This window comes from Homo sapiens, chromosome 5 (genome assembly GCF_000001405.40).
Source record: "Homo sapiens chromosome 5, GRCh38.p14 Primary Assembly".
Lineage (NCBI taxonomy): Eukaryota > Metazoa > Chordata > Mammalia > Primates > Hominidae > Homo > Homo sapiens.
Genome location: NC_000005.10, coordinates 43,601,746 through 43,628,911, shown reverse-complemented (window position 1 = coordinate 43,628,911; position 27,166 = coordinate 43,601,746). Strand labels below are relative to the sequence as shown.

General features: G+C 39.4%; 1 protein-coding gene and 1 long non-coding RNA gene across 8 annotated transcripts in view, besides 3 other annotated features; one reads left to right on the top strand and one right to left on the bottom strand.

The window, feature by feature from the left end:
* Window positions 1–26,237, bottom strand: part of NNT (nicotinamide nucleotide transhydrogenase) — a 104,722-nt gene extending 78,485 nt beyond the window's left edge. The window contains exons 1-7 of one of the 7 annotated variants that reach the window (NM_012343.4): window positions 26,022–26,237; window positions 19,566–19,769; window positions 15,775–16,004; window positions 12,847–13,064; window positions 9,793–9,880; window positions 4,792–4,880; window positions 525–712 (exon numbers count right to left, since the gene is read on the bottom strand). In NM_012343.4, coding sequence (NP_036475.3) covers window positions 525–712; window positions 4,792–4,880; window positions 9,793–9,880; window positions 12,847–13,064; window positions 15,775–16,004; window positions 19,566–19,716 — 964 coding nt within the window. In that variant the 5' untranslated portion in view covers window positions 19,717–19,769; window positions 26,022–26,237. Of the gene's footprint in view, window positions 1–524; window positions 713–4,791; window positions 4,881–9,792; window positions 9,881–12,846; window positions 13,065–14,292; window positions 14,413–15,774; window positions 16,005–19,565; window positions 19,770–24,241; window positions 25,733–26,021 lie in introns of those variants that run through there. The other 6 variants (XM_005248274.6, XM_017009293.3, XM_011514001.4 and 3 more) reach the window with 6 other exon arrangements.
* Window positions 25,472–25,691: a silencer, noted in NCBI's record as "silent region_15997". NCBI's record gives its function as "represses an Ori minimal core promoter by ATAC-STARR-seq in GM12878 lymphoblastoid cells {active_cell/tissue: GM12878}" and the evidence as "EXISTENCE:reporter gene assay evidence [ECO:0000049][PMID:35858748]".
* The window catches only part of NNT-AS1 (NNT antisense RNA 1), a 30,046-nt gene continuing 28,561 nt past the window's right edge, over window positions 25,682–27,166 (top strand). The window contains exon 1 of the long non-coding RNA NR_073113.1: window positions 25,682–26,134. This is a non-coding gene — a long non-coding RNA (NNT antisense RNA 1). The remainder of the gene's footprint in view (window positions 26,135–27,166) is intronic.
* Window positions 25,812–25,901: a silencer, noted in NCBI's record as "silent region_15996". NCBI's record gives its function as "represses an Ori minimal core promoter by ATAC-STARR-seq in GM12878 lymphoblastoid cells {active_cell/tissue: GM12878}" and the evidence as "EXISTENCE:reporter gene assay evidence [ECO:0000049][PMID:35858748]".
* Window positions 26,165–26,384: a silencer, noted in NCBI's record as "fragment chr5:43602630-43602849 (GRCh37/hg19 assembly coordinates)". NCBI's record gives its function as "represses an EF-1alpha promoter that drives an FKBP-Casp9 reporter gene in an ReSE screen in K562 erythroleukemia cells {active_cell/tissue: K562}" and the evidence as "EXISTENCE:reporter gene assay evidence [ECO:0000049][PMID:32094911]".

Below are 27,166 nucleotides of genomic sequence, written 5' to 3'. Positions count from 1 at the left end.
GAATTTATATAAAAATTCACAAAAGGGCTAGGCGTGGTAACTCACGCCTGTAATCCCAGCACTTTGGGAGACCAAGGCGGGCGGATCACCTGAGGTCAGGAGTTTGAGACCAGCCTGGCCAACATGGCAAAACCCCGACTCTACTAAAAACATAAAGATTAACCAGACGTGGTGGTGGACACCTGTAATCCCAGTTACTTGGGAGGCTGAGGCAGAAGAATCGCCTGAACCCAGGAGACGGAGGTTGCAGTGAGCTGAGACCATGCCACCGCACTCCAGCCTGGGCAACAAGAGCAAGACTTCATCTCAAAAAAAAAATTTTTTCACAGAAAAAATACTTGAAGGAAATTATTAATGACTATGAATTTTGTCATATATTTTCTCGTTTTCTAGTACTTTTATAATAGAAAGTACTAGATCCTTCCTTAAAGAAATTCAAATGTTAAGCAATCATTCACTCTCGCTTTTTTTTAAAAAAAAAGAGTAAAAGTGCTTTTAAAATAACCGTTTACTTAATGGCATACCTGGAATAAGTGCTGTGCTGATAAGGATGTCTACCTCCTTGCATTGTTGAGCAAAGAGTTTCATTTCAGCTTCAATGAACTCTTTGGACATCTCTTTTGCATATCCTCCTTGTCCCTCACCAGATTCCTTCAAGTCCACCTCCAAGGGCTCAGCACCAAGAGACTTGAACTGTTCCAAAGCTGCAGCTCTAGGGTGATTGTTAAAGTGGAAAGAGTAGTTATTTCAGGCCCTAATAAAGAAGTCAAGATCATCATTTACATATACCTTTTTAAGAACAACAAACTATATATTCAAAAGTCAACAGTCCCTTTGATTTCGTACTTAATTGTTCCAATTTTTTTCTAAAGGCAAGTAACATATTTATGAGAATATTCTTTTCTGAAAGAAAAAAAACTACTGAGAATTCCAACTTCTACTTAGTTAAGTTGCAAAAGCGATTTCACAATTGCCAACTCCAGTAATCAATTATGTTCCTTATGACCCCGATGTGGATGATGATGTGATACCTCATATACATCAGGATTTGATATCATTCAAATCACTCAGGATGAGGTTTTTCACTTGTAAATATTCTGAATTTGTTCTTACTAGAGACCTTTCCCACAAAAATAACTCTTTATATGTAAAATTATTCTAATAAAGTGATTTTTACCCCCCAACCAGTCCTTATTAAATTGTGTTTGCAAAAAGTAACCTATAAATAGTAGTAAAGGGTAAAATATGAAAAGCCAACACATTTAAATTATATAAAAATAAATTCAGTTTTAAATAAATAAATAAATGCTACCCAAGTACTGTCTCCTGGTTGGAAAACCACAGCCAACAAACACCTCAGTTCTGTGGTGGACGTGCATGTAACTCATCAATATCCATTCCACTATGGTAAATCTCAAACCCCCCTAATGACAATAATCACTCAGGGTACTTGTTAAAAATTCAAATTCCCAGGCCCCTTCCCAGACCCAGTGAATTATAATCTCCAGCAAGCAGGCCAGACACTATATTATTTTTAGCAAGAGCTGCAGTTCATCCTTGTCATCAGGGAAGTTTGGGAAACCGTGATCTGAGCCAATAAATCCCTAGCAACCATCATGTTCAAGAGTATGCATAAAGGGTAGGACATACAGTCCATGGTTGAGCAAGAGGTTCTCCCTCTGCTGGCTTGAGCAAGGAATCTGGTAGCCCAGATTGCCCCCTGGAGGTAAAGTTGCAACCACAAGTGGAATCAGCCTTAGGAGGAAGACAAAGCCAAGGACAGCAGAGAGGAGTGACAGAAACTGGTCCTTGATAGCACGGAGGAGCATCTCACTCTAATGTGAAAAGGAAGTCATTCCCCTGGATTCTCAGTTAGAAGAAATAATACATTTTCTAATGGTTTAAGCCAATCTGAGTTGGTGTTCCATTTGTGGCAGCCATAGGGATATAGTTCTTTAAAAAGCTTCAGAATTGTCTACCAATATTAATAAGAATTAGATGAATTCAAAATGTTATATTTGTATTTATATGTTATATATATACACACATACATATATGTGTGTATATGTGTGTATACACAGACATATATATTATATATACACATATACATATATATACACATACATATATGTATATAAAATAATCCAAATTTTGTTCTAAAGTTATATATATATAATTTCTATAAGAAATTACACCAAAATATCACTAGCAATTATATCTGGCTGATAGAATAATAAAAGGTATTTTCACTTTCATCCTTATGTTTCTCTCTATTTTTCAATAATGAATATGCATCATTAGAAATATAAGCTATTTCTAAATCTTTGTAGTTATATCTTTGCCCATAAAATAATCTCATAATTTAAAAACATTATAACATATTAGCATTTAAAATGTGTATATCTTTTGATTCCAATATTTCCTTAGAATTTATCTAAGGAAATAATGAGATATCTCCATAAATGTATGTTCTCAGATATAAAGTCATCCCTCAGTATCCATGGGGAATTGGTTCCATGATCCCCCTGAGATATCAAAATCCACGGATGATCAAGCCCCTTATAAAAGACAGTGTAGTATTTGCACGTAGCCTACATACATCTTCCCAAATAGTTTAAATCATCTCTAGATTATTTATAATGCCTAATAAATGTAAATGTTATGTAAATAGTTGTTATACCATATTGTTTAGAGAATAATGACAAGAAAAATGAAATTGGTACTAGCTCAGTACAAACACAATCATTTTTTCTGAATATTTTTGATCTGGTTGAACCCACAGATAATAGAACATGGATAGAGGGCTTACTGTATGTACATGTATATGTATATTGACCTACAGAGTATTGTTTAAATATAGCAAAAAATGAGGCCTAGTTAAATAAATTGCTGTACTTCTCTATACAATGGAATCTTCTGCAGCCACTAAAAATATTTATAGGTAAGGAAAGATCTTCATGATCTACTGTTAATTGAAAAAAGATAAATGGAACAGTAAAATTACATTTTTAATTAATGTGTAGATGAGGAAACACATAAAAAAAATCTCTAGGCAGTGAGACTTTAAGGTATTTTATTTTCTGTTCTTGTGCTTTTTCACATTTTTCCGAATTGGAAGAATAATCATGTACTATTTTATGATAGGAAAGAAAGCAAGGATTTTATATATTTAAACTTTGTGATACAAGCATTAGGCAAGATAATCACTATTGCTAAGAGGGGTATCTCCTAGTTATTGTTTGAAAGAATTCAAAAATCAGACCATTTAAATACCATTGGGCAATGAGCTGTCTGTAAGTTTTTAGGATATTTAACTGAAAATACATACCACTCAATCTTCCAACAAGAATTTAAAATCAAGTATGTTTTCCAATACATTTGGATTTCATATTTATAATATGAAACCAAACCCATCTCAAAATAGTGACTAGAGTAACTAATGAGCTATAATTCTTAGAAAAGTATTAAATCACTTCAGCCACATCTTTCTTCATTGTACACTTGAGATACCCGTATAACAAACTTAATAAATTATAAAGAAAAATTGAGTTTTTGTATTTTTCTAATATAAGCAACAGCCATATTCTAGCTGTTGATTCTGTACACAATCTAAAAAATGACATCAATATACTAAATTCTCAGTAGTTCACCCACCACCAAGTTTCAAATCACCTTTAAGTCAAATACATACATTTCCATTTTAATACTACTGTCCACTACAATGAAAACTTAAACGACCGGCTTTCTATGGGCTTGGAGGTCTTGAGAAAACTTCACATCAACAAACAGTAAAAATAAAATGACAGGATCAATGGCATGCTTAACTCTAGCTATCCTTGGTTTGTGTCCTGGTTACTTTGGAAATGCCTTATTTTCTCATTTCAGCAGGACAGCTTTTTATCAGTATATCACTTTAACTCTAGATAAAGACTATTAACCATATTCTATGGAACATTCTTTACTCTGAAAAGTCACATTCTTCCAACTTTGAATGGTTGCTTTTTTCTTTTTTGATCATTCTATGTTCAAGATTAACAGTAGTATTATTCCTCCAGTACCCTCAGCTGATAATAAATGACTACATTTTTCAACCTCAAAAATTATTAAAACACATATTAACTGTACTCGACTGACATTTAATAAAATCCAGTGTCTAGTGTCTTCTGAAATGAAGAAGAATTTTAATCAAACTTCTCTTTAAAGACAATCTAGGAAAATGTGTATATGTCTGCATTAAAGAAATACACAGTATACATAACCAAGTACTTTCACCCAGGGGCTCAAAAATTATCAGAAAAATATATGCAGCTCTATCTTAACATAAAACACAGAAAGCATAAATAATGCAGCATAAATAATTCATGCGTTGCTAGTCAGGTGAAGTGCCAGTCAGCTTTATTTGCTTCTATTCATTCACGGTAGGGCATGCCCCCAACTCAGCCTGCTATTTTACTCTTTCTTCAGATTCACAAACATCTTTGTTTATGCCCTAACTAGTGCCTAAAAGCATTCTGAACAGAAATAGGTAAAGCAACATGTTAGAAACTCAGGATAGAAAGAATTCTGGTCCCACTGTCAATCCACCCAAGAAAACAGAGCTGTGAGTTGTTAGTTTAAGTAATACATTTTCACTTTGCATTAACTTTTAAAAAGTGGAAACATTTTTAAATGGAAAGAGCTTATAGACCAGTTGCAATGTGCTACTTCAATTTACAAGTTTTAAGGCAATCATAATATGCCCCTGAAACAAAATGTTTTTACCTTAACATCAGTCACTAGTAAAGCACTCACCTTGTGTCAAATCCTCGAACAATTGCACCCATCGACTTTGCTGCGCCTGCAGAAGCAAGCCCAGCAACACCACCACCAACTATCAGAATCTAGAAGACAGACCCAGTTATGTGTTAAGGCTCATTATCAACTAATAATGAAAAATCATCAGCTAACAATTATTGGTGCCTAGTATAAGTTTAGCATCAATAAATGGCGGTGCAGATGGTGATAATGATGATCAGCCCTTAGTAACTGTATGGAGTACATAGACTATTCTTTAACTGAACCACCACTGATCTTGAAATTTTATCAAAGAAACAACTGCTAGCAAAGGCCAACAACAATTCACTAAAAATAGCCTAATAATCAGAATATCCGTGTAAAACTACCTAAGCATGATCAGCATTACGTATGTTGAAGATTAACAGATTCTTTTCCACTGTCTAAAAGTTCCTTCTACTAAAAGTCCCAGTGTGGCATTCTAACTACCTTTACCCTATCAAATTATAAGGTTTTTCTTTGTTCATCAAACATCAAAACACATTTCAAAGATGGGTACAACATTGGTGAAACATCTACCCCAACCTCTATTTTCAGCCAAAATGCTTCTGAAAGGAACAGCTGATGAGCAACCACAATTCTGAACCATTTTGAGCAACTCTCCGTAAGTCTGAAGCAATGTAACTAATGTCCCTAATCATGGAAGGATCAGCAACAAGAGAACCAAAAAATTCCTCAGAAACAAGTCTCCCCCTACCCCCGCCTTCTAAGAAACAAAGTAAGAACATTGTCTCCAGTCTGGAACGGGCCTTCCAGAGTAAAGTCCTGTTATATATCCCATAAACAGTCAATTGAAAGCAACACTTTGTTCCTGTAGAAAAAAAATGCCACCCACAGAATCAGTGAAGCTTACAAATTGCCACCCACCCATCATGCCCACATGTCCTTCTGCCTTTACAAAGACTAGGCTAGTCAGACTGTGCTCCAGTGAGCTCTGGGCAGTGTCTCAGAGGTCATGTGAATTGATCTTGATAATGGGGTGTTTGGTGCTGTGTTTGGGGACAGGGGTAAGTCTATAGGAAATGGGGCAAAGAGTGACCAGAGGGAATAAGCAGGCTCTAGGCTTCAAAGCACCAAACTCTTCCACACAGAAGCTCCATCACCACTTAAAGAAAGAAAAAAAGAAAGAAAGAAAAAGTAAATAAAAATAAGTAAAAGTCACAGGACTTGGCCAAGTTATCCTGAATCAAGACATAACAAAAAAAAAAAAAAACCATAATTTAAAAAAGCAGAATCGCACAAAAGCAGCAGATCTTACTATCGAAATTTACTTTTTCTCTCTAAAGCATGGAGTAAAGAAAAAGACACAGTGAGTAAGAGTCAGAGAGCTTAGGTCAAAATCCTGACTCTGTTACTAACTAGTTCTGGGTGATCTTCGGCAAGCTGCTTATCATCTGCAATACAGCAATCAAAGTGCCTTCTCAGACTGTTGTTATATTAAACAATGGAATCTAACCGAAGCACTTACTGCTAACTGTTACACCGTAGGCATATGCTCAAGAAATAGTACGGGGCCAGGCAGGTGGCTCAGGCCTGTGATCCCAGCGCTTTGGGAGGCCAAGACAGGAGGATCGCTTGAGCTTTGGAGCTCAAGACCAGCCTAAGCAACATAGTGAGATCCTGTCTCTATTAAAAAATAAGAAATAAAAACTTTTTTAAAAAAAGAAATAGTATGGGAAAGGGCAGGAGAAAGGAAATAACTTTAGGAACAATGCTCGTGTTCACTCATATAACCTTCCCCTCCTCTGGCCTTCCCCATCTGAGTAAAGGCAGTAACTATGCACAATTGTTTAAGCCAAAATGGGGAATTCATCAACTCCTCCCTTTGCACATATTTCCATTTCCAGTTCATCAACAAGTAGTACTGGTTTTAACTCCCAAAGATCATCCCTAATCCAGATAAAATCCTTCACCTTTCTCTACATTTCTGGTGCCGCCATCGTCCCAGGTGCAACCAATTGCTGACAGATCTTGCCTTCACCCTACTATCCATTCCCCCACAGAACAGCCACATGATTTTTTTAAATCCTAAACCAAACATTTCCCTCACCTGCAGGAGAATCCAAAGTCTATAACATGACCTAGAAGAGAGGACCCACATGATCCAGCCTAGACCTTCCTTTCCAACATGATCTCAGATCACTCTTCATCTTGTTCACCACACTCCAAGACCAATGGTATTCTTTATTTTTCCAGAACCTAAATACTGGAATCCTAAATGCTTGGAATCCTTAAACTCCTGTTTCCTTCTTCCATGCTTCAAATCTCACCTCAAAGGTCAGAGGAAGCTTCCCCATCACTCTACTAAAGTGGCCTGTGCCCATTACTGTCACATCATCCGGTTCATTTTTTTTCCTGTGTGAAATTATCTCATGGCCAGGTGCAGTGGCTCATGCCTGTAATCCCAAAATTTTGGGAGGCCAAGACAGGAAGATTGTTTGAGCTCAGGAGTTCCAGATCAGCCTGGAGTGAAAACTCCAGGCAGAGTGAGACCCTGCCTCCAAAAAAAAAACCAAGTCAAAAATAATAATAATAATAAAATTATCTCAGGTATTTATTTGATCTTTTGTCTCCTCACTATGACCCCCACTGGAGTGTAAGTTTTATGCAGCAGGAATTTTGTCTTGTTCATGCCATATCCCCAGCTCCTAGAACAATGCCTCGCATATCATAAGCCTTCAACTGATTGATTTTCATTCAATCTAGGCCAGGGGCCAATCTTTTGGCTTCCCTGAGCAACACTGGAACAAGAATTGTCTTGGTCCACATATAAAATACACTAGCTAACACCAACAATTGCTGATGAGCCAAAAAAATAAAATGGCAACAAAAATCACATAATGTTTTAAGAAAGTTAACAAATTTGTGTTGGGCCGCATTCAAAACCGTCCTGGGCCACTTGTGGCCCACAGGCTGCGGCTTGAACAAACTTGTTCTAGACAGGTAAGAACCCTCCATGTTTAAAGGAAATCCAAATAAAAGACAGTATTATGCAATCCACCTTAATGAGCTATACCAGTGCCTTCAATTTCAGAAAACTATTTCTGTCATGTAACCAAAGTCCCTTAAGCTGCAATTTAAATTTTCAATAAAGATAGTCACTTTTCCACCTTTTAAAGGCTGATTCTCTTTTCTTTAAGCCTCTTTTGTTTCACTTTTTAATATCTTTTATTCACAGCTTTTCTCTCAACTTCCACATATATCTAGAAAGATTATAACCAAAATTAGTAGTAGACTTGTGCATCAAAGCATTCAGTCAATTTAAGAACAGCATCGAACTTCTGGCCACTATGCATGCCAGACATTTTTGTATGATCCTGAGAAAGAAGTCAAAATTTAATCATTTTACATCTCACGTCTGTGTTGTTTGCTCACACTTTCTTGCTAAGTATTCTGGCCTACACTTAAACAGCCTGCCATTTTTTTCACCTGGCCTGTTTTTCAAAACAATATAATTTCTCAAAGCTACTATTTGCTTTTGTTTTAATTTTTTTCCAGGAGATTTATTTTGTGTGAGAACTCTGGGCTTTATATAACAAAGTACTTAAGAGCAGGAAGCAGCCGGGCATGGTGGCTCAAGCCTGTAATCCCAGCACTTCGGGAGGCCAAGGCGGGCGGATCACAAGGTCAAGAGTTCGAGACCATCCTCGCCAACATGGTGAAACCCCGTCTCTACTAAAAATACAAAAAAATTAACCGGGCATGGTGGCCGGCGCCCATAGTCCCAGCTACTCAGGAGGCTGAGGCAGGAGAATGGCATGAACCCGGGAGGTGGAGCTTGCAGTGAGCCGAGATCATGCCACTGCACTCCAGTCTGGGTGACAGAGTGAGACTCCGTCTCAAAAAAAAAGAGCAGGAAGCACCAGTTAACCTGTAACCTACAGGTAGGTAAATGATCACATTTAAAGTCAGGTTTCCTGTACCTAGTGCTGTGGTTTGGATGTGCTTTGTTCCCACGAAAACTCATGTTGACATTTGATCCCAAATGTGGCAATATTGGGAGGTGGGGCCTAGTGGGAGGTGTTTGGGTCATGGGAGTGGATCTCCCATGAACAGATTAATGCCCTCCCTGGGAGTGGGGGGCTGAGTTCTCACTCTGGGGGTTAATAGAAGAGCCTGGCTCCCTCAGTTTCTCTCTCTTGATTCCTCTCTCACCATGTGATCTTTTTTGCACACGCCTGCTCCCTTTACACTGTCCACCATGAGTTGAAGCAGCCTTTAGGCCCTCACCAGATGCAGCTGCCAAATCTTGAATTCCAGCTACCAGAATTATGAGCCAAATAAACCTCTTTTTTAAAATAAATTACCCAGTCTCAGGTATTCTCTTTTAGTAACACAAAATGGACTAAGACACCTAGCCTCAGGGTTTCCATTGTTACTGAGTGTACATAGGATTGAAGGATCACAATATGACCTCCTATTCTTTCAGCAAGCCATCGTCACCTCTCATCGTTAACTGCTCCTCTCTGCTTTCAGTGTGGATTAAAGAAACTGGCACCATTTCTCTCTGCCAAATACTCTGATTACACCACCTCCCATTTCCTGTCTTCTTGATCCAAAAATTGACAAGAAGTGAAGAAACCAAAAATACCTTGTATATGTGCCAAAATGTTGCAAAAATTGAGAAACCCAGAATCTGCTGAATGGTATCTTGAAAGTTTTTTTTAAAAATTAATAATATATAGGCTACAGAGAACAAGTTATCCAAAATTCTTTTAAAAATTCAAATTAGTAAAGTCAAAAAACAGAAAAGACTAGAACTTTCAGAAAGTCAAAGTTCATTTTTTTCTAGCAATCTTAAACGTTAAGCTTTGAGGTTTCGTGAAATATTTATACACACCAAAAAGTCATCAGTGAGGTTAACATATAAAAATTTTTAAATAACTGTATTTTAAGACTATACATACCCTTTCCTTTAATCAATGCATATTATAAAGAAACATTAAAAGTTGTACCTACCTTAGCTGGAGGAACTTTTCCAGCAGCTGTGATCTGACCAGTAAAAAAACGTCCAAAATGATTTGCTGCTAGGACAACAGCCTTATAACTTTAAAAATAAATAAATAAATAAATAAATAATTCCATAAAAGGAGAGATCTCAGACTCACATATCATCATAAGTCATCAATGAAGTTTTGTCAAAGAATAATAGCTAATATTTATGTAGTATGTACTATGTGTCAAAAACAGTTCTAAGTGTTGTATATACACTTGCTCCTTTAATTTGCACAACAAGCCTATGGAAAGGTACAATTACTGTCTTCATCCCATAGGTGAGAAAACTGAGATACAGACTGAGAGACTTGCCTAAGGTCACTCAGCTAGTAAATGGTAGAGCCAGAAGTCTAACACAGGCAGTCTGCCTACAGAGGCACTCTCTTATCCATTATGCACCCACCCTCTTCATAACAAGTACTGTAGAACATAATAGAAAATGTAATGAAAGAAAGATAGGAAAATACTAACAATGGTTTTCTTTGGGTACTAGGACTATACATCCTTCACACTTACTTTACTATATAGTCCAAATATTGTTTGATGACTGGGTAGTGCTTAGGTAATGGGGGGAAAATCCTTAAAATAAAAAAAATTAGGTCAGCCATAGGCTTGTACAAAATAAGATTTCAACCTCGGAGAACAGAAGAAACACTTCCCTTGATCTCTAATGGTTCAAAGTATGGGATTTTCCGATATACTGACCTTAGTTCATGTCCTAGTTCTCTGACTGATTACCTTTGTGACCTTGGGCAAATTTTTAAAATTTTCTAAACCTTGGTTTCCTCATCTATAAAGTAAGGACAAAAAGCATCTATCTTTTAGGGTCGTGAGGACTAAATGAGATAACGCAGGTGAAACACTTCGCATAAAGCCTGTCACATAGAAAATGCTCAGTGAATATTAAGTGTTTTAGCCAAAGAAACAAACTATTTAATAAATCAAATAATATGCATCATCTTTTCTTTAACAGGATATTTTTAACATGCTACACTAATTTCATTTTCATAGCAATTTATATGTAAAAGGCACTTTTGCATTCTTACTTGGTAATATATACACTGGCTCAATATTATAAAGCAACTATTAAAACTCCCCTGCTAGGTGACAAGAAAATCTTCTCCCTGATCATATTTTTACATAATAATACTTGATACAATAATTGATGCAAAAACATATAAAGTCACCATTATTAAGTTAATCACACTGGAGCAAAAAACAATACTTTAGAGATTACAGTATCTGTTGCTCTCCTGAATTCAAATGACAGCAATTTTTAATGGGCAAATATGACAAAGATTCAAAGGCCACTGTAAGAAATTAATTGTGGAATTAATGCTCTAAAAGATTCAGTTGCTATTCTGAAAAATAAATAATAAAAGGAGATTACACAGGAAATGTACGAGGAAACATTGATAGTGAAAAAAGTAATAAATTGGACATTTTCTTCATGACAGCAAAAAAGTTCAGAATGAACAGTAATGAAGTGGAAGTAGCACATCTTCACTGTAATATGGCTGTGTGTATGAATGAGACGGATAATGATTTATCATACATTGTATGGATATGTATACTAGATGATTCCTTTCACACTATGCTCTCTGCATATATCAGCTCAGGACATAGAAGAGTGATTCCTCAAATTGTGATCCCTGGGTCCCTGAAGGTTTAAACTTCAGACAAATCTGGGGCCATAGTGGATGAGATGGAGAGTAGGAATGTTTCTGCACAATCCTGCCATACTCAGTGTACCCAAAGCTACTCAGCTCTTACTGGATTTATTTATATTGTCTCATAATATTTCATTTGCTCAAAAGATTCAACAGCTAAAACCACTTGATCTAGAGCGACTGGTTTTGATATTCTTTCACATATGTGTATTTCAGAATCAACAGCACCCTTAAAACTTTACATTATACATTTTCTAGATAAAATTTTAAGTCACACATTGCATAATATAACTCCCTTACAGGCTAAATAAATTTAAAAGTGTGCAGCTAAAACACAAAGTAGAATCTATGACATATTTCCTATGCTAAAATATAAAACCTAAGAAAACTTTCTGCTTAGGTGTCAGGCTATAGAAGGCTTTATTCATGTTAGTCATGTTAGTGTCTTTTTATGCACTGTTTTTTTAAAAAGGTTATTTTCTTTGTGCCTCATTAATATTAGCAAATTCTCAACTACTAATAGTTTTCATGATTAAAATCTAATTTAATTAGTTTCTTAGAGAAGTTGATTCATAAGCCTTATCCCATTTCCAGATTGTTCCCACCCTTTAAGGCAAAGTCAGCAGTACACTGCTTTCATGTAGCTATTCCTGTCCCTCACCCATGGCAGGCATGATTACTCAATCATAGCCACATTCCTCCAAGCAGAATGGGCCTTAGAATCCTTCTCAACATAGTACTCCAGGCAATCAACATAGAATGTATTAGTGCTATTGGGCAAATGAAGCTTATTACCATCTTGACCTTAAAGGTCGAAGACATAGCCCTCAGTTATCAATATGGGTTTTGACATCAGATGAAACTTCCTCTAGTCCAGACCTTTTTCCTATTCTTTAAATATTTTATAAATTTACCTAAGCAAAACCTAATTAAGACAGCAAATCCACTAATATATGCATATTAATTTAACCACATGAAATTGTCACTATTCTACCATTTTTGACCTATAAAAACAGTAACTTCAACCTTACATATACATGTACACACACATTTATGAAATACAGTGTGTTCCTCATACAAATAATCTGACAGCTATTTGCTTTGGTGAATGGAAACATTACTACTCTTCTACTCATTAAGATTAAAAAGGAATATAAATAGAGTTCATTTCCTATCTAATTACTGTAAAACAATAAAATGAGTCAAAAATAATTTAAATGCACTCTCAAAAGGCTGTAATCTCCAACAATAATTACAAATAAAATCACTGTAAGACAGAAGAGCTACAGTGTGAAGGTTTCTGTAGCACTATTGCGCTTTTGTTCAATTGAAATGGAAAAGAACCTACCCCGCAATGTTGGCCATGGAGCTTAGCGCATCATATCCCTGAGCAATTGTGACTCTTGGAACCTGGTCCATTGCCAGAACTGTAGTTTTTCTTTGGGAAAGTTTATTTAGCAACTCTGGATTTTGGGCTGGGTAAATAAAACTAATCAGCGTTCCTGATGTCTTTAAAAGGTCAGCTTCATGAACACCTAATGTTGGATTAACCATAGGGGCTCGCACCTGGGGAAAAAATCAAGTCACAGATTATAAATATAAATACTTTAATCATATTTTTAAGCAAACAGGAAAACTTAGATAATATGCCATGACTGAAATAATACTCCAGAAATAAATCTTCCATCAATAATTTCTGACTAAATTCTTAAGCAATATAAGGCACACACAGAGGTATACCATCTATCCCCTGCCTAATGACCTGTGGACTGCTCTGAGTAAAGGGCACACACACCTGGGAAATACAAAATACTGAGACTGGTTTGACAATTAACTGCAGAGAGGTGAAAAAATATATGGAAGCTCTACAGCAAACCTGCAGTCCCCAAAACTTATTACCCTGGTAAAATTAACAGATATTAGAATAAACAGACAGGAAGTTTTGTTGTGTGTTCAATCCTTCAAGCAAGATTCAGTCCTTGCTAATTTTGGCAAGCATGAATAATTGGAGTGATGAGACATTAAGAACATCATAAACTAAAACTAAGTATAGATTTATGTCACTTTAAAATTCCAGATGACTATTTATTAGATGAACACAATTCACACTAGTAACCTTGCTGAATTGGGTTTAAGCCAAAAGCTACAATATATTCTGTTACATTAAGAAGTATCAACTAAGTCAATGAATATACACTCCATATGCTTGAAAGTTTCCAATATCCATTTTTTATTTTATTTTTTATTTTATTTATTTTTTTTTGTTTTTTGAGACGGAGTCTCGCTCTGTCGCCCAGGCCGGACTGCGGACTGCAGTGGCGCAATCTCGGCTCACTGCAAGCTCCGCTTCCCGGGTTCACGCCATTCTCCTGCCTCAGCCTCCCGAGTAGCTGGGACTACAGGCGCCCGCCACCGCGCCCGGCTAATTTTTTGTATTTTTAGTAGAGACGGGGTTTCACCTTGTTAGCCAGGATGGTCTCGATCTCCTGACCTCATGATCCACCCGCCTCGGCCTCCCAAAGTGCTGGGATTACAGGCGTGAGCCACTGCGCCCGGCCATCCATTTTTTAAAGCCAAATTTTTAAAACTGTATTTTAAATGTATTTTAAAATGTTTTATATCCAAGTTTAAAATCAACCTTCAAATAAAATATCCCATTTCATTAGTTCCTAGTTAGCAATAGTGCTTTTAGGCAAGTAAACACAGAAAACACAGCCTCTGGGACTTATGTTTTAAATACAAACACAAACATTGGGTCAATAAGTTTATCTCACAGCATTTCACCTCAATTTACCTATGAGACACCTTTGTCTGCTATTCCCATTTCAGTTGTTGATCTGGTGATGCATATGTTTCTAGGTTCTGGACTTTAATTAAGGCTCTCTGACAAGGTCTACTTTTCCTCCAAGAAAATCTATAACATAGATTTAGTAAAAGTTAGAAAACAACTCTGAATTGATTCTACTGGCCCCTATCAAATGCTCAGCTGAGACCGCTGTCATCTGAGTAAGTCAAGCCAATAGAATGTTTCCCTGAATGCGCTCCTCAGGATATTAACAGACTTGGCTCAAATGAGAGGCCCCCAAGATCAAGAAGTTTGTTAATGCTAGTACTGTATAAAGTCATACAATATTCTATGTTATAGGATTTCTGAGCACACCATTAACTGCTTATATACATTGTGAATCCCTAAAAGGAACACATAGCACTTCCAAAATGTAAGCACACCCTTATAGGGCTTTTTCAAGACATCTCAAAAGATGATCCCTAGAATATATATGAGAATGAATTATACTCTTCTTTTTTCTCTAAGTAATTTTACTATATATCTAGCTATATCACCAAGTATTTGTAAACTTAAACCTTTAAAAAGCTTTAGCTGAGTTACAGTTAACCCCCATGCCACAAATTTTACTATTAACTTTCAATAGCAAAAATTGGTTTTGTAACTTTAGCAAAAACCACCTGTCAAGTGTTAGGATCCTGTCAAGTTATTCAGTGGGCTTTATGTAAGGAAATAAAAAAACTATGTGATTGATACCTCATAGAAATTAATGTAGAAAAAAGCTGTATCTCCTGAAAAAATGAGTTACTTCCCTGTTTGCTTTGGTTGCAGGAGGCTTAGCATTTAATTTAATGCTCAACTCTAGTTATCATCTGTGCTAGACCCTTGATACAGTCTCTCCCCCTTTCTCTAAAGGATTTTTTATTTAATATTTTAATTCTCAAGTCATTTAGTATATAGATTTCTGTTATATATTACCTTAAGAACTTATTTTAGAGTAGGTAAAGCTACTCGCCACTCAGCCCAAAGCTGCTTTCTCCAAAATAGTCATGCCCTCTCTAGAAATAGCACGTATGTCAGTGTAAGTCATTGCGCCTTCAGGTGTCAGAAGATCACTGAACATTTAGTCCCAGACTAAGTTCCATACCTTCTTTCCATTCTAGCAGTAAATGTTCACGTGTGGGTACTCTGGATATATATGGACCATGTAGAACAAATTTTTCCTAGCCAATTAAAAGAAAATGTCCATATAGCAAATGTAAAAATGAAGATCACTTTTTCTCTCCTCATGGTTAAACATAGATCATATTGTCTGATAAAAGTTTTACTGGAGCATGAAGAATATGACGACATGCAGTCATTTCTTTGAGAAAAATACACTGTTTGAAAATAGGAAAAGGTGTAACTCCAGATAAAGTAATTTAATTTTTCTATGAAAAGATTTCAAAAAGTCAGCATGCTGTAAATGGGAGAGGAAAAAGGAATAATTACTTTGACCACCAAATCAGAAGCCAGCACTTCCTTTGCCCCTTGGATTTGGGCACCTGCCACTCTATAGTGATCATCTGAGAACTTGGAAGCTTCGCCCGCACCCGATTCCACGACAACATTAAAACCCTGCTTGACCAAGTTCTGAACACCAGCAGGAGACAATGCCACTCGCTTCTCATTTTGGAATATCTCTTTGGGGACTCCAACAGTCAGTTGCTTATATGGAATTCCTAGAAACAAGCAAAGGCAAAAAAAATATATATTTGGTAAAAAAACAAACAAAAAATGTTTAAAAACAGATTTCAGAAAATTGAAAGGAGCAATCTTTTCTTCAAAATATACCACACATGCAAGCTGCTGTTCAGAATGATGTTCCTGATTCATACTTATAATTCTTTGACTTTTGTGGTAGATTATAAGAAACTTTTATGCCTACTCTTCTGAAACTTCTAAATATTTTATTTAATCAATTGGCTTTCTTCAAGGAATATAACAAGCTTAGTTGATTTGTAGGAGAAAAAAAAATGGGTTTAGAGATCCCTCCACATGCTGACTCCATTCTTCAAACTAAGGGCAAGGTTATGGTCTCCTTGCCCTTACTTTTAACAAAATTGGAAGTAATTAGCTATTTTGAAGAACAACTGTATCCTAGACACTTTGATGGCCTGCCACACTCAAAGTTCCCTTCCAGGCAATTTGGCCACACACAATGCCTCATAAATTTCTAAGTGTTGTATCTTAAGACTCTACACACTCAGCCACTTAGACAAGGGATCAGCAACTGTGTCAAGGACAATCATCTACAGGGCAGACAAGGAAAACTAGCAGCTGCACCTTATAAGATGACTTAGACAGGAACTCTGTCCAAGGACGCTCTATGTTGGCCAGTGACTACTCAACCCACTGGGTTCTCTCTCAAGGAGTTTAAATGGGAGACCCACAGAGAGGGACAAGGAGAGTAGATCAGTGCAAATATTATTTGTAAGCACAGCTATGAGGTAATCAAAGGGAGGTCAGCAGTAACAGTGATAGAAACATCAGTAGTAGATATTTAAAGAGAGAAGATGGGTCACAGCCATGAATTCTACAAATAACATTCCACTTATCCAAGGAGTAGATGGGGGGTTTCTGGGCTCTCACACTTGCCAAGAATCCACATAGCAAACCCTCATCACAAAATATAATCTGATGTGATTCTGTTCCTTGCAACCCAAAAAAGCCTATATAGTACAATCTTATATTTAGATATGGTTCAGACCATCTTTAGCTACAGGACATCAGTTTCTCCTGATGTTTTACTTAATATGCAGCATAAACATTTTTTAATGAAGAGTATCTGTTTCTATATAAGGTTTATTAAAGCTTAGGAAACCCATTCTTGCAACCTAAGATCTGAATATGTATAATTTCAAAATGAATGAAATTATCCCTACAAAGTAACTTATTAAGTAAGACCTTAGAGAAATTAAGTCAACCTAGACCTGAATTTGAACACTGTCTTAGATTCCACACTACCTATATAGTAATAATTTACAGTACACGAAAGGCAAATAATGCTGAATCTTACTCCTTACTGGAAGGAGAAGGAGGAAAATAATAGAAAGCTGGCAAATATTTGGATTGACATACAAAGCTCAATCACATACACTCATCTCAAGTTCACTTAGCTGACAACCTCAAATTGTCAGGCTCTACATGGCAAAAGCAAGGAAGCTACCAAAGATGACTGAAGCCATGTCAAAAGGATTTAGAAGCCAATTTGAAAGGGCTTCCACTGACCAAATAAGAGATAATTTAAGCACATACAAGGGACAGAGAAACTGGCTAAACAATACCAAGAGGATTCAATCAGCCAAACCTAGAATGTTGTTAATTCTACAGAGCAACAATGAAATTCTTCAGTATATTAAAAGGAATAAAGAGAGGGGAACTTATAGATAAAAAGAGACAAAAGAGACATAGCAAATACAATGTGTGGACCCTGTTTGGATCACTCTTTGAACAAGCCAACTGTAAAGAAAAAGAGGGAGGGAGGGAGGGAGGCAGGGAGGGAGGGAGGGAGGAAGGAAAGAAGGAAGGAAAGAAGCAAGAAAGCAATTGAAAAAATATGAATACTGACTGTAGCTGGAATTACTTACTACACTTTTCAATATGGTAATGAACTTATGGTTATATTAAGGAAAAAATAGACTTCTTATCTTTCAGAGATAAAAATAATTAGGAAATAGTGAAGAACCAGAAATTAAACAAAAATGTCTTATACATAATCAATATAGAGATCTTGATGTCCATGGATTTACTCACAAGGACAGTTTTCATGTCTTCAACAGTTATTTACCTTTATTTTATACACAATTTTATCACCAGGATAATCTGGCTTTCCAGAGCAATTTAAAAGAAAGCATCTGAAGATAAAGTTGGAGGCTTGTAGGGACAGATACCCTGCCAATTGTGACTTGTCATCTGAGAACAAGAAAAGAGGCTATAAAATCTATTCAAGGCAGACATAAGATCTCAAAACACCTAGCAGTTTAGAGGTCCTTAATGAATCCACAAACAGTCCTACAAACTTAAAAAACAAAAGAGGGCATTATTCTAGGTGACAAAGGTTGCCCCCCAAAATATCCATCCTGTTCCTTCACCTTAATAAGAAAATGCCATTTTTAGCTGGGTACATTGCCATCTAGAATAAAAGACAAAATGTCCAAGTCTCCCTTACAGCAAAATGTCCAAGTCTCCCTTACAGCTACATGTCTGAGTTCTGGACAGTGAGGTGAAGTGACAGAAGTACTGGGATGATCTTTGGGCAAGACTGATGAAAGAGAGTTGACTTGGGGGACAACCTGCTCGGGTCCCCTTCCATTCTGTGGAAGCTTTGTTCTTTCGCTCTTTGCAATAAATCTTGCTGCTGCTTAAAAAAAAAAAAAAAAAAAAAAGACAGACAGTTGACTTGGTTTAGAAGGGCCCCTTTTTAGCCTCTCCTCCTTCTGGCCTGTACCCCAGAACAGAAGCAAGGAGACATTCTATCAGGGAAGGCCTTGTAGGCCACTGGAAGACTTCAGATCTTCCTCTGTAAGAGCTAGGAAGCAAGTGGCAAATTTTGAATTGAGGAGTGACATGACTGTACATTTTAAAAAGATTATTCTCACTGTCCTGTGCAGAACAGACTGTAGGGGGCAGAGGTAAAAAGCACAGAGACATTTAGAAGACTGGTGCATCAGTACAGGTGACAGATGACGATGGCTTGGACCAAGATGATAAAAGTAGCAATGGCAAGAAGAGGACAGTTTGTAGATATGAGATGGAGCTGACCTATACCTACTAGGAGGATGTAGAATGACTCCAGGGTTTCTGACCTGAGCAACTGCAATCAAATTGCTACTAACTAAATTGGAAAGCATTAATGTAGACCAATTAATATACTTAATTCCTAATTCCTGAGCATAGATGAGCTGTATATGGTACAATTCTCAAATACTAACAAGGAATTAGGAAGGGCTTCTAGGAGAAATGGTTATTATGAGCAATAGGCTCCAGGGACAACTCAACTGGTTTATCTTTTTTGTTTGTTTGTTTTTTCTATTACCTTGTCTTCTCTGTTAGCGCTGGAAATCAGGAACGTCTATAGTACATGGAAAATACAAGATAGCACTTACTTGTTGTTTGTTTAAAATGATCACTCACAAGCACCAGGCCATAAAACTACATGGCTTTTCCTTTTATCAATCATCAGATCTATTAGTTCCTATGACTTGAAGGTTTCATTTACAATCACTGAAGTGAGACTTTACCTGGTTTTACAGGCGCTTTACACCACAGTTCTTGGTGAGTATAAAATGTTCGTAAAAAATCCTTCTTCACACGTAGACCCTTACAGGACCCCAAATTGCTAAGTAGAGGACACGAGCAGCCAGTCACCACTGTTTTCAATAGGTTTGCCATGTTGATATGAGTTCCCAATTTTCTGACTCCCCAGTTTCCTTGAAGGCAAATCACTAAGAAAAAAGAAAATAGGATGTATATATGCCAAGAAAAAAACTATTTGTCTTTTAAACATGAAAAACATTTTAAAAATACTAATCTAAAGAGCTTGAAATATAACAGTTACATGTAGACATCTATAAAGAATTTATTTGCCAAGTTCCTTACTTATAGAAGATGCTCAAAATTCGTTTTCCAGTTCAGACATTTAAAACTTGGAATCCATTTTCCCACTAAAATTGGAGTTCTAAACTCACTATTCAATTCCAAGCCTAGGTCATATAACCTATTTGATCCTTAATGTAGCTAGAAAGCTTTAATACACACACATATTGCTACAGAATCAAGTTGTATCTTACATGAAAGTTATCTTCTAAGTCAGCATGTCCAGCAAAAAGTGCATGTAATTCAGTTACCTTTGAATTTCCCTTAAATTACCTAAAATACTGTACAGTATAATGGTGACTTACATTTAGCCACCAGGTCATACCAAATACTCTGACATCCTGTTCAGTGCAGCAGGATGCTTATCCACTGAGACCTCTGAACTGAGGCTGACTGAGTGAACAAAAGATTCATGTTTGCCAAGTGCACCTCTCAAGAAAATTAAACATGCATGACACATGACTCTAAGAAAGAAGAAAGAAAGAAAAATTCCATAGTATCTTTATCAAATAGGCTTGTGCTTGCTGATGTGGCCATAACTATGAACTGTTTTGTCAGTGGTTCTCACAAATGGCCACTTTTTGCGAGTTCTCACCAGGCTGCGTGAAGTGTCACTGGGTTTTGCTGTTACTAAGGTTTCAGGAACTACCTCCACCACATTCCTCAGTAGATCCCCAGGGATGCATGAAAGGCACTCCCACTGTCCCCATAATTCCCAATGATCCTCCATACCTTTCTCTTCTTTCTTTCAAGAATGGAAAGAAGCCAGGCGCAGTGGCTTATGCCTGTAATCCCAGCACTTTGGGAGGCCAAGGTGAGCAGATCACGAGGTCAGGAGTTCGAGACCAGCCTGACCAACATGGTGAAACCCCGTTTCTACTAAAAATATAAAAATTAGCCGGCCCTGGTAGCTGGCACCTGTAATCCTGGCTACTCAGGAGGCTGAAGCAGGAGAATTGGTTGAACCTGGGAGGTGGAGGATGCAGTGAGCCAAGATTGCACCACTGCACTCCAGCCTGGGTGACAGAGTGAGACACCGTCTCAAAAAAAAAAAGAATAGAAAGCAGCCAAGGACTTAGAATTTTATCAGCCAAACTCAGCTAACACTGCTAACTCTGCCTGTAAGTTCTGCTGTATCATGTGGACCCTCACGGGACTGAGCATCTGATCCTAGCAGGCTCCGTAAATGTTCTTCCAGACTCCAGAGGGAGAAAGACTTAGCTCATTTTTAATTTCAGAACTGCTGCCACTGGCCAGGCTTGGTGGCTCATGCCTGTAATCCTAGCACTTTGGGAGGCGTTGCCTGAGTTCAGCAGTTCAAGACCAGCCTGGGCAACATGGCAAAACCTCGTCTCTACTAAAAATACAAAAAATTAGCCGGGCGTTGTTATGCACGTCCGTGTGAAGAGACCACCAAACAGGCTTTGTGTGAGCAACAAGGCTGTTTATTTTCACTTGGGTGCAAGTGGGCTGAGTCCGAAAAGAGAGTCAGCAAAGACAGATAGGGGTGGGGCAGTTTTATAGGATTTGGGTAGGTGGTGGAAAATTACAGTTAAGGGAGGTTTTCTCTTGCAGACAGTGGTGGGGGTCACAAGGTGCTCAGTGGGGAGCTCCTGAGACTCATTGTCCAGGAGAAGGAATGTCACAAGGTCAATTGATCAGTTAGGGTTGGGCACAAACAAATCACAATGGTGGAATGTCATCAGTTAAGGCAGGAACTGGCCATTTTCACTTCTTTTGTGGTTCTTCAGTTGCTTCAGGCCATCTGGATGTATACGTGCAGATCACAGGGGTTATGATGGCTTAGCTTGGGCTCAGAGTCCTGACAGGAGTGATGGTGCGCACCTGTAGTCCCAGCTACTCATGAAGCTGAGGCACCAGAATCGCTTGAACTTGGGAGGCAAAGGTTGCAGTGAGCCGAGATCATGCCACTACACTCCAGCCTGCCAGCCTGCCAGCCTGGGCGAGAGAGCAAGACTCTGTCTCAAAAAAAAAACAAAAAAACAAAAAACAAAAAAAACCTGCTGCCACAACTCCTTGAAGAAACATCTTTAAAATACCAGAAAGCAGCATTGGTAATGGAAATTTTTAATCCAGGGAGCATATTTATTCATAAGATGCCCCTTAATTCAACAAATATATACCAAGGGCAGAGTTTTGCCATTAAGAAGCACTTGTAGAATCAAACTGGAATTTTCCTGGAGATAAGAAGTCAACAAATAATAACACTACAAAGTAGAGTAACAGAGTAACACAAGCTCAGAGTCCTTTGAAGGATCAAAGAATGAGATTGTGTCCTCTTTTAGAGCTCAGAAAAGGAAGGGAAAGCCGTTTGAGATGAAGAGAATCAAATGAAAAATAGCTAAGGAAGAAAGAATGCAAGATGTGTTTTGGCATGCAATTAAAAATATGTATGAATAATTATTTGCATTTGGACAGACAGCTTTACATGTTCAAAGTGTTTCCACATATCATGTCATTTCATTTCAGTCCTAAAGTATTCTCAAGTCTCATAAATACCCTACTCATTCATTCATGGGTCACATCTAGAGTTATCATGGCTGAGAATAAAGAGAAAATTAGTTCGAAATTCAGCTACACATTCAAAACCCCTACCGAATCTATGCCAAGAACTAAGGGAGTTGCAAAGATGTGTAAAAGATTATTCTTGTCTTGAGTGAGATTTTTTTTCCCCACCATTACTGAGTGACCTACTCCTATCCCAACCTCCCCACTTACCCAAGTTTCTCTTCTTGGATCATCCCAACTCCCCAACAACCACCATTTTTATGGGGCTGACAAAGAGTTCCCAGACCTCATCAGCAAAAGAGTGAACTGAGCTTTAATAGAGTCCTGTATTGTCCAAATCTGCCACTCACTTACTGTTCGACCTGAACCTCCCCCTGCCTCAGTTAGCTCAACTATAAAAAAAGCACAGGTTTCAAAGGCCATTTTAGTCTCTAGAAATTTTATGATTAGATGAGACTTTGTAATGCTATAAAACTGAAGTCCTATTTCATGGCCTGAAATCTGGAAAATTTGTTCCTTCTACTTGGAAAATGGTAATTTGATGTTCAGCAGATCCTTGGCAGGGGCATCAGACATCAGTAGGGCCAAAGCCTTCATAGGCCCATTTCTGTGAAAAATTTCACTTGATTCAACTGTGAACATACAGGGCAGAGATCAGGAGGTCATTTCTTGGCAAAAGCAATACATATCACTAAGTCTAAACCAAATACAAATGGCCCTGAAAGATAGAGAATATTTAAACTATCTTATCATTGACCTGTACAGGTTTATACAAAAGATAATACTCCATCCTAATCATCACATTTTCCTCCATCTTCACTGTAAAGCTCTCATTTATCCATGTGTTCCTGTGGCTTTGAAGCAATAAGAAAAAAACTTTATAACTCAAAATTAGGGGAAAAAAGCACAACTTTTTTTTTTTTTTTTTTTTTTTTTTTTTGAGACGGAGTCTCGCTCTGTCGCCCAGGCCGGACTGCGGACTGCAGTGGCGCAATCTCGGCTCACTGCAAGCTCCGCTTCCCGGGTTCACGCCATTCTCCTGCCTCAGCCTCCCGAGTAGCTGGGACTACAGGCGCCCGCCACCGCGCCCGGCTAATTTTTTGTATTTTTAGTAGAGACGGGGTTTCACCTTGTTAGCCAGGATGGTCTCGATCTCCTGACCTCATGATCCACCCGCCTCGGCCTCCCAAAGTGCTGGGATTACAGGCGTGAGCCACCGCGCCCGGCCCAAAAGCACAACTTTTTAAGCATTGCTTTCATATGTATGTTTAATGTAACTTATATGGGTTATTTCCCCTATTAGATATTAAAATCCTTGAGGGAAAGCACCCAACCTAAAGAGGGAGGATACCACAGATATTTAAGAGAGTCAGCTCTGGATCTGCGGATTGGAAGCCCCACTCTGCAACTTATTGGCTGTGTGACCTTGGGAAGTCACTTAACTTCCCTGTACTTAATTTCCTCATCTTTAAAATGGGGAATAATAGCACCCACCCAGGGTGGTGGCTCACGCCTATAATGCCATCTCTTTGGGAGGCTAGTGGGGAGGACTGCTTGAGGCCAAGAATTCAAGACTAGCCTGGCCAACACAGTGAGACCCCCATTGCTAAAAAAAAAAAATTAATTAGCAGGGCATGGTGGTGCAAGCCTGAAGTCCCAGCTACTTGGGAGTCTGAGGTGGGAGAATCACTTGAGCCCAGGAGTTCCAGGCTGCAGTAAGCCGTGATTGTGCCACTGTACTCCAGCTTGGACAACAGAGCGAGACTTGAAAAAATAAAATAACAGCACCTACCTCTCAGGGTTGTTGCCAGGACTGAGAATATCCTTATCAGCTGTTATATTCACTTTGGTATTACTCTCCCCCAGTGCTTTGCACAACACAGAGGAAGTCAGTATTTTTGACTGAATGAATAGGGCTAGGTGACCTTAAGCCTAAGTACCTATTGAGCACATTTTCCAAGGATTTTCGGAAAATTTCCTTTGAAAAGGAAATGTTTGTGTAGCCTTGTGGAAAACTGATTCTATCACCAAGGTAAGCAGCCTAAGCGCACCTGCTGGAAAGAAGGCAATCCTAAACTGTCTGTTAATAAAAAGTCAAGGTTTACAAATAAAAGGGGTGCAATGAAGAAAAGGGGCACACTTTAAATAAGAAGAGTAGGTAGGCACCTAAGCCCCACGCGCTTCTCCGAATAAGTCTGTCCTACAAGACTCCTGACAAACAGACCACCTAAGGACTGGCCGGCGCCACAGGGTGAATAAAGGACACCGGCAACCATAAACAAGTCACGCTTTTAAAAGCGAGACATACCAGCAAGGACACAATACCCTACTGAGCCAGCTTCGGCTGGCAGGCGCCGTGACCTCACCCAAAGCCACTGGTGTCACGGCTACTGCCACCGGTGCCGTCCCTTGCTCGGCAACTAACTGCCACCCGCTGGCATCTGCACGAGACCGCTATTTATAACCTCCCTAGGAAGCCGATTGGCCACGGCTGCAAATAGTCATTCCGGCTGTTGAGTTTGAACTAGCTCTGCCCAGGTCGCCCTCTCCGCTGTCTCTTCCTCCTCACCAGCCTAGGCCCCAGAAACTTGTACCCACCACCGCCAGACCGCCCCAACTCACACTCACAATTTGTGCTCGCAATCTCCTATGTCCCCAGCCGGACACCCTCTCCGAACTCCCTCAAGGGTCAAGCATACCTCAAGGGCATCCAGCTGCCACCTCTCTGGATGAACCGCCCATCGAAAGTCCTCTATGACCTCCCTCTCCACCACCCCCGATCTTGAGGGCCGAAATGACCCCGTACGACTCTCGCTGTCCCCCAAAGCTGCAAATATCTGCACCTGCACAGCTGCCGCCTCATTCCCTGCCCTCTTCGGGGACCCAGTTCCCAAATCCACCAGCCCACTCCCTTCGACATCGCCCCAGCAGGAGACGAGAAAGGGACACCAAGAGGCACGGTGCTTCTTCCCCACCTAAGCCTGCGGCCTGCGGACACCCCAATGCACCCTGCGCCCGGGACACCGCCGACCCCGCCCCGCTTTGCTCTTTGACAGGTCTCTCTCCCGGCGAGGGCCGTGGTCTTCAGGAAAGGCCCGAGCCCCTTTCCCAGCTGCGCCCTAGGCGCGCGCCCCGGCTGCCCGCACCCGCCAGTGCCGTCGCGCTCACCTGGGCCGGGAGGCTGACAGCCTTGGGCTGTGCCCTGAGGGCCGCGAGAGGACGTCGCGCTGGCAGACCCGGGCTTGGGCCCCGCGGCGCTGCGCCTCCAACCCGGAAGAACAGCCCCAACTCCGCGGCGGCGGGCGGCCACGTGACTGCAGCTCCGCTCCCACCTCGGCCCGCGCCCCTTCCCCGCCCCAGCTTTCTTCCCGCCAGGCCCCCTCCACCCGATCGCCGCGCGCTCTCCGAACCAAAAGGCGACCTCACGAAATGCCCCTTTGAGCTCAAAGGCTAGTTACCCCCAGGGGCCCTTCCACTCTCGGGGACAGGCGAAACCTCTTTGTCTCTGCCTCGGCCTGCGGCCCCCAGCCCAGCCTCCGCGCTTTCCCTCCGCCAGTCCTTGTCAATCAAACCTGGTGCCAAACGCGGCAGCTGAAGTTTTCAGGGACACATTTGCTTCTCCCCTTGAAGAACCAGTTACAAAGCGTGATGTCCTCTCTGGGGTCCCATCAGAACAAAGAAACAGGTAATATAACTCCACTCCGGGTACCTGCCTTTCCTCCAGCTCGCTAGGAAAAATCAGAACTTCTGTAACAGAGAGGACCCAAGGGAAAGGGGCAGGCGGAGAGGGGTTGGTGAAGGGCGGGAATGGGGGGCGTTGATTTTCCATTCTGGCAGGAGAGGTGGAGTTAAATTCCTCAGAAACGATGTCCAGGCTTGAAAAGTAACACACATCTGCGTGCTTGTCTTCCAACATCAGAGCCAGCCTAGAGGAAGCTGGCTAGTGTCACTGCTAGTACGAATATCCCCGAGGCTGGAAAGCATCTGGGTGGAGGTTGTGAGCTTTCCAGACCAGGCCTCGGCTGTTTTTCTAAAACTATTAACCGTAATGACCTAGTCGTTCTTTTCACACAGTTCTGTTACTTATTCTGCAGGTGTATTCTGACTAAAAGTGGGAGGAATAAAAAATAGAGTGTAAAATGGTTCACTTGCCCAAAACTTAATCATCATGAAGTGTCAGTAACGTCATTTATTTCTATTAATTGAAATTTTGATACAAGAAAAATAATTATGAATCTAAAAGGTATAAGCAGAACAGGTATTCCATAACTTTAAAAAGAAATGAGCCGCAGGGAAACCCTTAGTTTGAGAACTTGTCTTGTGATTAACCTACACAGAAGGTCATTCAACTAATGGATTCCCACTGCAGTCCAAACTCACAGACAGGAAATGACACAGCCCCATGTTTTAAAATAATAATGAGCCGTGGTAAGTGTGACCATAGGGACGGTTTCCAGATACTGAAGGTACAATGAAGTGAGATTAGTAATGATCCCACTTAGTAAGGATTTTAAACTAAGTTATTGATTTAAAACTTTTTGTAGGGGTCAGGAGTTGCTGCTTTGTCTTTTAGGGATTAATAATTCGTGGTTCCCAACTGGGGACAATTTAGTTCCGAGGGATATTTGGCAATGTCTAGAGACATTTTGGTTGTCACAATTGGAGAGGGGACCTATCTAATGGGTTGGGGCCAGGGATATTACTGAACACCTCACAC